Here is a 9,761-nt window from a genome sequence, read left to right as displayed (position 1 = left end):
TTGAAAAATCATCCAGGCATGGTGGCCTGTGCCTGTAATCCCAGCTGCTTGGGAGGCTGAGGTGGGAGAATCACTTGAGCCCAGGAGGCTGAGGCTGCAGTGAGCCAAGATCGCACTACTGAACTCCAGCCTGGGTGACAGAGCAAGAGACTCTGTCTCAAAAAAAAAAAAAAAAAAGAAATCTTACCGTCTTTAGTTCCTATCACCATTACTGCAGATTTAGAAGCAATCTACCTGAATCAGAAAATAGAGCTCAAATAAGTTGTGTGGCTTGGTATAATCTGGGAAAATCAGTTTCAAAAGTTACCTGCCCTTGGGATAGAACTTTTTGTCAACACCAGTTTTCAAAAAGTACCCTAGTTATGAGGCCGTTGCTGGGTAAACTTTATCCCATTCCAGCTTCAACCAGAGGAACCTGTACATCCTAAAGTTTCACATAAGATTACACTTGAAGAATAGGTTTCTCCATTAAAAGACTTGAAAACTACTGGTCTTCAGGCTCCCTACCTGTTTAATCTGTCAAGACATTGCCAGCTTAAATTTCGGACAGTTACATAAGTGTCCCTGTTAACTTCAAATGGCCCTGACAGGAATGCTAAAACGTCAGACATTCAAATGGGCCAAGCTTTATCAGGATTATAAAACTTTCAAAGCTCAAAAACATGCCATCTCTATGGGAAACAGTATCTTGGATTTGATGTTACAAAAGGAACAAGAAAATGGTTTCTGAATGGCAGCTTTCAGTTTACAAGTAGTGGCAAAGTAAATGCTTGGATGTTATGAGGTAGTTGATCTAAATTGTGAGGCTTTCTTAAAGGCACTCCTTTGATCTCATGGAGTGAGAGACTAGAAATCTATTCAACGTATTAAAACTCCTCTCCCAGCAAAATAAAATAAACAAAACATCCTCCTCCTAATGGCTGAAGTTCCATCTAGCTGCTATGGCCATTTTATGGAGCATGGTGCCATCTTGTGGCCACTCTCAAACCACCCATTGTTAATCAAGTGCAATTACAGCATGTTAAGAGTGAAAAGGAAAGCTATTTGGAGCCATGGTCACTTGGGATATTTTCAAATGTTCTCAAAGAACATGACATTTTGGTTACTTTTAGAATTTTATTGACTTTTTTCTTCATAACTTTAAAACAAAAACAGCGCATGAAAACCAGTGTCTTATTCCAAAGTCTCAACTCAGCTGATTGCCAGGTGAACATCACCATCTTACTCCTCTGAATAACTAGACACAAATTACATAGCAAGTTCGAGTTTCTGCCCACCCAAGACACAGCCAGTAATCAGTCACAAACACAGACACAGCCAACTCCAGGGGCTCCAGCTTTCTGCCCATCTTCTCTCAGCAGTTCCTCCCATCTGCTAAGATGCGCCTTCCTGGTGGCTCTCTCTCAAGGTGGGTCAAGGCTGAACAAGACAGAAAAGCACAGTCTAGGTCCACCATCACCTCCCACTGGCCACCAGTTGGCCAGCCAGGAAATCATTTCTGTACATCTTTTGTCTCCCCCTTTTATCTCCCTCTCTCTTCTCCAAAACTTGTTGCTATCTATCACTTTCATGTAACAATGGACTTAGTGTCCATTAAACTGCCTGAGAAGTGGTTTGAGCCTGACATATTTTCCTGAGCTAAAAAAGGAAAAGTACCTCTGTGGCCTTCTTGCCATTAAGATCAAGTAAAAAAGGGACTAGCACTACTGAAAAGGGTCACGCTAGAAAAGCCTTAGAATCCTCTCTCCACCCCGTGAAGGTTTCTCTAGCTGTAGCTCTTAAGGGTACAAGACGGCAAATATTCTGGGGTGAAGGAGGTATAATGGGGAAACACATTTATTTTCCCCTTTTAAACTTCCCTGCTGCCCCAGTCTTTGCCTTCTTCTTAGTGGATCCCTTGGGTTCTGGCTCCTTGCGCTTAGCTGAAGAGAGTGAGCCGGTCACCTTGAAGAAATCATCCAGGCGGCCCTGGGTGCTGCCTTGGCGGCTCTTACTCAGCCTCTTGACCCCACTGCGGATTCGCTCCTCAGAGAACTGCTTTTCACCACACATGAACTTGATCAGCTCTTCTTCATTTGGCTCGCTCCACTTCAGCTCCACAGACTCTGGGTCCAGCACCTCAGGTTCCAAGAAGAGCTGGTGAGCCTCCTTGTGGAGCCAATTTTCTGGCACAGGGTACTTGTTGGGGTCAAGTCGCCGCACGATCTCCTCGATGCTCTTGTGCTTCTGGATGAGGTCCACAGCCCGCTTGGGCCCAATACCCCGGATACTCTCACAGTAGTCACTGCCTAGCAGGATGCACAGATCCACAAACTGTTCCTGGTTCAGGCCCAGCTCCTGCAGAATCCGGCTCAGGTGGAATTCCTGGATTGGCAGCTTTTTGGCTTCACTGGCAGTCAGGTGTCGCATTAGCACAGGGCTGCCGAAGGTGAGGCAGTCCATGTCCTCGGTAGCCGCAGCATAGACTTTGCCAGCCTTCACCAGGGCAGCACAGCTGGCCTCTGCCTCACTGGGTGCATCAAGATAAGGGATGCCCATGAGGCTCAGCAGATGTTTGCACTCATCATTGTGCTGCTTAGTGACCTTCACCAGCCGCTTAGTGAATTTTTCCACCTCCTGCTCGGCCCCAGCAGCCTGAGCCTGCTGCAGCTGCTTCTCTGCCTCAGCCCGCCGCTCACTGCGTTTGGCCAGCTCGCCTGACTTGAGCTGTGGCGGCTTGCCATCAAAGACATACACGGGCTTGATGCCGTTCTCCATCATGCGAATGGTGCGGTAGAACATGCCCATCAGGTGGCTGGTGGTCTCACCCTCCTCATTCTGCAGCACATCCCCACCCTGGCGAACAGCAATCAGGAACTGATAAATGCTCATAGAGGCATCAATGGCCACCTTACGGCCAAAGTAGCTCTTGATGTCATTCTCCCGGATGGCACTGGGGGCCACATCAGCAATTAGTTTGGCCAGGCCTTGAATTCCCATGGCAACACAGAGGAGGGATGACTAAAAAAGAAAGGCAAGTCAGAGACGGAGGAAAGGAGAAAGGTTATAACTGGTGTTATCTCACCAACTTCATGCCTTCAACTAAATTCCACACAACAAAAAGGACACCATGTCAGCACTGCTAAAGATAAAAAGATGAACAAGGTCCCCATTCTCAAAAAACTCAGTCTAGCAGGAGAATTTACTCAATAGTAAGGCTCAACGAGTACCAGAAATTGAACCACGTGCTTAGAGAAATAAGATACTGTTGATATTCTAAGGTAGCAGCATTATTTATTACACAAAAAAAACCTGCAACATAGGTCTCCATCAAGGACCACAGAAGGCCAGGATGCTTGGCCTGGCTTGAGGAGTCCAGGGACCATAATGGCAGACCTGAAAGACAGGCAAATACACCAGCTAAACAAACAGATCTGATTTGTTTTGAGTCTCTGGAGAACCCTGACTAATAAGGCAGCCTTGAAAAAGGATTGCAAACATATCTGAATGGAGGTGATGTGGCTTTCTCACAAGCTTCTCTAAACTCTCTTCATCATCGCCTCAGCACATAAGAGTTTCTACTTTTATTATAATGTTGCTAGAGTTTCAAGTCTTTCCCTTTGCGTTTTCTCGCCACCACTCAGTCTGAAATGTTAACTCCATGGCTCCTCCCCAGGTCCTGATTTAGGGGTCTGGCATGCTGTAGTCACTGGGCTCAAAAGAGTATTGCACTTCAGAGTTCAGTGTTTCCCAGATAGCAGTGTTTCCCAAATCACCCTCACGATTTTTGCTACTTCCAACTAAAACCCGTACTTTCATTCACTTAGAATTTTTTTTAAAAAACTAAACTGGAAAACTCATAAGCAATAATATTTGTGTTCTATTAGTTATATTTTAATATGTATTAAATGTATAACTATTAAAAAGGATTTTTAGGGGGTGCAATTTAAAATCATCTTGCCATCCTGGCCAACACGGTGAAACCCTGTCTCTACTAAAAATACAAAAAAAAAAAAAATTAGCTGGGTGTGGTGGTGTGCACCTGTAATCCCAGCTACTCGGGAGGCTGAGGCAGGAGAATCGCTTGAACCCAGGAGGCAGAGAATGCAGTGAGCCGAGATTGTGCCGCTGCACTCCAGCCTAGCAAGAGAGTGAGACTCCGTCTCAAAAAAATAAAAAACTCATCTTGTGCCCACTGTTGGTATGTGTCCAATACTCCAAGAAATATTCTACTGGGGCCAGGCACAGAGGCTCTGGGCAGTAATCCCAGCACTTTGGGAGGCCGTGGTGGGAGGATCACATGAGCCCAGGAGTTCCAGGCTACAGTGAGCTATGATTGTGCCACCACACTCCAGCCTGGGCAACAGAGCAAGACCCTGTCAAGAAAAGAAAAGAAGACAAAAGAAAAGAGAAAGAAGAAACGAAAGACTCCATCAGGCCTTTTCATTGTTCCCACTCTTTCTTCACAGGGTTCTTTCTAGAGCATCAATGACTGTTCAATTCTTCCTTCTAATTCAGTCCAAACACTTCAGCATGGCATCACGATCTTTCATGTTCTGGTTCCCAACCTAACCCTACATTCTGGGATCTCAACAGAAAGCTGGAATAAGGCCCGCCTTTTCCCACTTTTCCTTAGCTGTGCCCTCCTCTCGCCATCCTCTCACGCGTCCTTCCAGGTCCATCCCTGGATTATTAATCAATTAATAATTAATTGACAATGAATTATTCATTTGATTAATATGAATAATTCCCCTGTGAACTGCAGCGGCAAAAGCTCTGGCCTTGAATCTAGGCGCGGCATTTACCATCCGTGTGACATTACCAAGCCACTGAGGTTTATTTTCTCGTCTACAGAAGAAGAACGATTACCATGCCTGTCTCTCAGGGCTGCTGCCAGGGTTAACTGAGACAACAGACAGAAACCTCTAATGTCCCCTCTCCAGGCCTGTTCAACCCTTCGGCTCTTGCCTCAAGCCGGCCGCGCTGCTGGAGTGTGGACTGAGGACCAGACCATGTAGCCCTTGATCCCCTCACGGCGTCCCACAGACAGGTAGGCAGGAAAGGGGCCTAAACAACTCAAGTGTCAGAAATGTTTCTCGTCCAAGGTCTTAGGAAAAATACAACACGACCCCATAAGGTGGAACTTATTACCGCTTTTCTACAATGGAGGAAAGAGAGGCTCGGAGCTTACGCGACTGGCCCAAGGCTCACAGGGGGAAAAGTGGCGGGACCTCTTGACTGCGAATCCCGCGCACTCCAGACCCCGGCTCCCCACGGCCCCCAGCGCCAAGCGGACCCCGTCGCTCCCGGAGGCGCTTCCCATGGGGTCTCACCTGGCCTTTGGGACACGCGGCCTCGGCGGCTAAAGCTTGGTTCGGGGTTGCCCCGGGCAGGCGGTCCTAAGCTCGCTCTCCCTTCTCAGCTTAGCGGCGGGTGGCCTGACGTTCAGCCGCCTTCCAAAGCCCGCGCTCCCGTCACGTGACCTGCTCGCCACGCACAGCCTCTTGGGGCGCGTAGTGCAGGCTGCGTCCCCTCAGACGGCTGCTCTCATGGCAACCAGTCCCTCCAGGGAGAACAGAGTCTCTCAGCGACCCTGGCGTACCCTTCTCCACCGCTTGTCCCCACTCCACCCACACCAGGTCCCCGCAGGCCCCTGCTCCCTCTACACCCGAAATCGCAGGACTACAAGTCCCTCAATGCCACTTGCGCCGGAGGCACTTCCTTTTCCGGTTGTGCTAGGCGCCTGCTCCTGCCGACGTGTTCTTCCGGTGGCGGAGCGGCGGATTAGCCTTCGCGGGGCAAAATGGTGAGAGCGTTGAGGGGAGTTCCAGACGGAGATGCGAGGACCCCTCGGGGTCTGACCCACACCGCGCTTATCTCCTCAGACGCCGGAGATCCAGAGGGCTAGACGCTCCTGGAACCTCCGGCTTGGGCTGAAGGGTGGGGAAGGGGGAAGCCCCTTGCCATGAACTCCTTAGGTTTCTCAGCTCGCGATTTCTAAGGGCGAGAGGCGTGGGGCGAATTTTGAATACCTTCCAGTTTGTATATCTCTGTTATCGGTGGTGTGTTATCTTTATTTGGAAAGTTCTTCTGCCGAACCCGTGCCCATCCTACAATGCCCTGGGCAAATGTTTATTGGTGAAGCACTTCCAACTCTCAGGCACTTGGCCAGACTTTCCTAGGAGCGCCCACAGCCTCTGTACAGATCTCTGGCCACGTTCCATGGACTTCTTTGTTTTCGGCCACGCCTCCTAGTGACCACCGTCTGACGCGCATCTAGCTCTGGGATGATGTCTATTCATCTTTGTATTCTCAGTGCCAAACAGAGGGCCCGTAATTGGAAGCTCAATAAATGGCAGTGATTGTCTTTATCATTTTGGGGGAAGGGGGCCGTGATTGTTTACTGAATTGAATTCCAGTGTCTCAGAACAATGGGGGCAGTTTACTTCTCTAGAGTTGTTATGTTCTGGATTTTAGAAGCATTGGCTGACCGGTGACAATGAAGTTAACATTTGTACAGATCTTTACGTTTACAGCCCTCTTTCATAAAAGACATTATCTCATCATCTTCCCTACAGCCTTAGGAAGGAAGCAAATACCTGTTGAGCAAAATACTCCCTGCTAGGCACTAGATGCTTTGATTCATCATCTTTCTTATTTTTCAGTTCTGTGAAATAGATATTACAGTCGCTTTACTCAGACTCAGATTACTCAGAACCAGAACTTGAATGTCTTGACCATAGCTCACAAGATTCCATAATAGCATAGGTAGTGAGGAAAATACTGAATTAGAAATTGAGGGCCAGGCGCGGTGGTTCACTCCTGTAATCCCAGCACTTTGGGAGGCTGAGGCGAGCGGATCAGGAGGTCAGAAGTTCAAGACCAGCCTGGCCAGCAAGGTGAAACCCTGTCTCTCCTAAAAATACAAAAAATTAGCCGGGCATGGTGGTTCACGCCTGTAATCCCAGCTGCTCGGGAGGCTGAGGCAGGATAATCACTTGAACCCAGAAGGCGGAGCTTGCAGTGAGCCGAGTTGGCACCACTGCACTCCAGGCACTCCAGCCTGGGCGATAGAGCAAGACTGTCTGGAAAAAAAAAAAAATTGAGCCTGGGCGCGGCAACTCACACCTGTAATCTCAGTACTTTGGGAGGCCGAGGCAGGCAGATCACCTGAGGTCAGGAATTCAAGACCATCCTGGCCAGCATGGCAAAACCCCATCTCTACTAAAAATACAAAAATTAGATGTGGTGGTGCGCACCTGTAATCCTATAGTCCCAGCTACTCGAGAGGCTGAGGTATGAGAATCTCTAGAACCCGGGAGGCAGAGGTTGCAGTGAGCCGAGATCGTGCCACTGCCCTCCAGCCCGGGCGACAGAGTGAGACGCCGTCCAAAAAATGAGACTCCGTCAAAAAAAAAAGATATTGAGATCTGGGTACCACCAGTCAGTGACTTATAGCGGGGGTTCTCAGCTTGGTGTCTATAGACACTGGTCCACAAAGCTCCGGAAATTGTAGGCAAACTTTTTCTTGTATGTGGTTTTTCTCAGGCAGAGAGTTCGTACCTTTAGTCACGTTTTCATAGTGGTCAGATTATTGGCCTCAGAAAATGCTAATAAGGGCCATTGATCTGCAGCTACATTTCCGGGCTAAAATCAGCCTCTGTTTCACGGCAGCACCAGGCTCCTTGATAACCGCATGTTCTCTCCAGGCTGAAATCGTGGGATTCTTTGATAGCTCTGATCTCTTTCCCTCCTCTAGGAGCTCGAGGCCATGAGCAGATATACCAGCCCAGTGAACCCAGCTGTCTTCCCCCATCTGACCGTGGTGCTTTTGGCCATTGGCATGTTCTTCACCGCCTGGTTCTTCGTGTATCCTTTCACTGAGCAGCCAGAGGACCAGCATTAGTGATGTGGGAAGCTCAGGGAGAAACCACGCTAGGTACATGGACCCCGCCGGTTTTGTACATTGGATTGGGGCTGAGAGAAGGTAAGGAGGAGAGGAGGGCTAGTGATGCCCAGGGGCAGGTTATAGCCTTATTTCCCAAGTTCAGGTGAGCTCAGTTTGTTCTTTGGATTTCCAGGACAGTGAGCAGGGGACCTGGCTGGAGTGGAGGTGGGGAATAGGGGTGCTACAGTTGGAAAGGTGGTATAAGGAAGGGTGCACTCAGGTGTCAGGAGGTCTGAGGGCTAGTCCCAGCTCCGGCCCTCATGAGCTGTGTGACCTGGGGCAAGTGACCTAACTCCTCTGGGTCTCATTTTCTTCATGGCAGTGGAGCACCAGAGTCCAAGGCATCTCTTAGGCCCCTCTGCCTGGCTGCTCTGAGCCAGATAGGCCTCCCAGAAGGCATTGAGCCAATGCTTTTCTCCTCAGATTGCCGTGGGCTGGGCTCTCTGCACTCCACAGTCCACCCCTTCGCTTTGCCTTAACTGCTGTGCCCAGTTACGAGGTCACCTCTACCAAGTACACTCGTGATATCTATAAAGAGCTCCTCATCTCCTTAGTGGCCTCACTCTTCATGGGCTTTGGAGTCCTCTTCCTGCTGCTCTGGGTTGGCATCTACGTGTGAGCACCCAAGGGTAAGAGCTGCAATGGGATGGATGCGTGAGCCTCCAAGGCACAGCCCAGGGAAGCCTCCCCAGAGTCAGGTCAGCAGGGTCCTTAAAGCTCTTACCAGCATGACCCCTTGGTTGATGGAGACAGACTCAGTGGAATGGGTAGGGACACTAGACATTTGTGCCTCTTTCCCTGCCCCTCATACGGATTTGAGCCAAATGTGACTCTCAGTTCTGAGCTCACATGGCCCAAGGCCTCGATCTGCCTTTGGGATGTACCACCTAGAAGTGTGGACGCAGGCATCCCATGGCTGTACATTTACATTCTTAGAAGTCAGACCCCAGTGACTTGGAGAGGCTGCTGGGAAGTCAGCTGGCTGAAAGGGGGTCAAGATCCAGGGCTTAAAACTTGCTGCAGACAATCCACCAAACAGGCCACTAGGAATCAGCTCTGGTGGCTCATCCTCAGAGGTGTGTGCTCAATAGCCCTTGCCCCAGGAGCACAGGGGTGCAGGGAGAGAAGGAGGAAAGAAGGGCCATTGGTCTTATTTTGATACCCCTCTCCTCTTTTAGGTAACAACCAGATGGCTTCACTGAAACCTGCTTTTGTAAATTACTTTTTTTTACTGTTGCTGGAAGTGTCCCACCTGCTGCTCATAATAAATGCAGATGTATAGCAGTCCTGTCTGGGGCCCATTCTGCAGGGGTGGTGGGTGCTGGGACCTACATTGCTTCCCCAATCTCTTCCCTTTCCCATTTCTCATCTGCCTTTCACAGTTCCTGCTGCTGATCTACTTAAGGGGGATGAGATTTGTGTAGCACCGGTGTTTTGTCATTGGAATTTAAGGCTTACCTGTGGATAGGGTCTGGGCCTACCCTTTTCTATTGTTTCTAGGACAAACTTCTCTGGGAACCCACATCGGTCCATTCTGCCCTAGGCCAGTCCCTGCCATAAACATAGCCACCATTCTCTGTGCTGGGGCATCCTCACCAGGCTCAGCTTCTCCCCCTAAGAAGGCTTTTCTCCTCAGTGGCTACTTTTAATGCAGGTGGGCAGCAGCGGGTGCGCAGGAGGGGAAGGTGTGGCCATGGGAGAGGCTGATGAGTCCACTCCTAGCCCCAATATGAAGCTAAGAGGATAAGGGGTATGAAGCATCCATTTGGCCCTCTGGTTCAGGCGCTCAGAGATTCCAGGCTTCTCAGGAAGAACTTTGAATTCCAATTGGCCC

The 9,761-nt window shown here is 49.4% G+C and overlaps 2 protein-coding genes and 1 non-coding gene across 3 annotated transcripts, besides 5 other annotated features; 2 read left to right on the top strand and 1 right to left on the bottom strand.

The window, feature by feature from the left end:
- Positions 1 to 1,102: 1,102 nt before the first annotated feature.
- On the bottom strand, positions 1,103 to 5,430 carry FEN1 (flap structure-specific endonuclease 1). Its single transcript, NM_004111.6, has 2 exons — positions 5,313 to 5,430; positions 1,103 to 3,000 (listed from the first exon to the last, which is right to left on the bottom strand). The coding sequence occupies exon 2, from the start codon at positions 2,977 to 2,979 to the stop codon at positions 1,837 to 1,839; it is 1,143 nt and encodes a 380-aa protein (NP_004102.1). The 5' UTR covers positions 2,980 to 3,000; positions 5,313 to 5,430; the 3' UTR covers positions 1,103 to 1,836.
- Positions 2,495 to 2,995: an enhancer, noted in NCBI's record as "H3K4me1 hESC enhancer chr11:61562818-61563318 (GRCh37/hg19 assembly coordinates)". NCBI's record gives its function as "activates a minimal SCP1, AML or CMV promoter by ChIP-STARR-seq in primed H9 embryonic stem cells {active_cell/tissue: H9 hESC(primed)}" and the evidence as "EXISTENCE:reporter gene assay evidence [ECO:0000049][PMID:30033119]".
- Positions 4,541 to 5,516: an enhancer, noted in NCBI's record as "NANOG-H3K27ac-H3K4me1 hESC enhancer chr11:61560297-61561272 (GRCh37/hg19 assembly coordinates)". NCBI's record gives its function as "activates a minimal SCP1, AML or CMV promoter by ChIP-STARR-seq in naive and primed H9 embryonic stem cells {active_cell/tissue: H9 hESC(naive and primed)}" and the evidence as "EXISTENCE:reporter gene assay evidence [ECO:0000049][PMID:30033119]".
- Positions 4,541 to 6,494: a biological region, named in NCBI's record as "NANOG-H3K27ac-H3K4me1 hESC enhancers GRCh37_chr11:61559319-61560296 and GRCh37_chr11:61560297-61561272".
- Positions 5,430 to 5,724: an enhancer, noted in NCBI's record as "tiled region #5973; HepG2 Activating DNase unmatched - State 1:Tss, and K562 Activating non-DNase unmatched - State 1:Tss". NCBI's record gives its function as "activates a minimal TATA promoter and a strong SV40 promoter by Sharpr-MPRA in HepG2 and K562 cells {active_cell/tissue: HepG2 | K562}" and the evidence as "EXISTENCE:reporter gene assay evidence [ECO:0000049][PMID:27701403]".
- Positions 5,517 to 6,494: an enhancer, noted in NCBI's record as "NANOG-H3K27ac-H3K4me1 hESC enhancer chr11:61559319-61560296 (GRCh37/hg19 assembly coordinates)". NCBI's record gives its function as "activates a minimal SCP1, AML or CMV promoter by ChIP-STARR-seq in naive and primed H9 embryonic stem cells {active_cell/tissue: H9 hESC(naive and primed)}" and the evidence as "EXISTENCE:reporter gene assay evidence [ECO:0000049][PMID:30033119]".
- On the top strand, positions 5,742 to 9,392 carry TMEM258 (transmembrane protein 258). Its single transcript, NM_014206.4, has 4 exons — positions 5,742 to 5,785; positions 7,739 to 7,848; positions 8,420 to 8,556; positions 9,106 to 9,392. Exons 1-3 carry the CDS (start codon positions 5,783 to 5,785, stop codon positions 8,544 to 8,546), a joined length of 240 nt encoding a protein of 79 aa, NP_055021.1. The 5' UTR covers positions 5,742 to 5,782; the 3' UTR covers positions 8,547 to 8,556; positions 9,106 to 9,392.
- MIR611 (microRNA 611) lies at positions 5,780 to 5,846 on the top strand. Its single transcript, NR_030342.1, has one exon. It is a non-coding gene; the product is annotated as a microRNA 611 (primary transcript).

The sequence above is a fragment of the Homo sapiens genome, chromosome 11 (genome assembly GCF_000001405.40).
Source record: "Homo sapiens chromosome 11, GRCh38.p14 Primary Assembly".
Taxonomy (NCBI): Eukaryota; Metazoa; Chordata; class Mammalia; order Primates; family Hominidae; genus Homo; species Homo sapiens.
The sequence above is the reverse complement of the archived record's forward strand: the minus strand, read 5'-3'. Positions and strand labels throughout refer to the sequence as shown.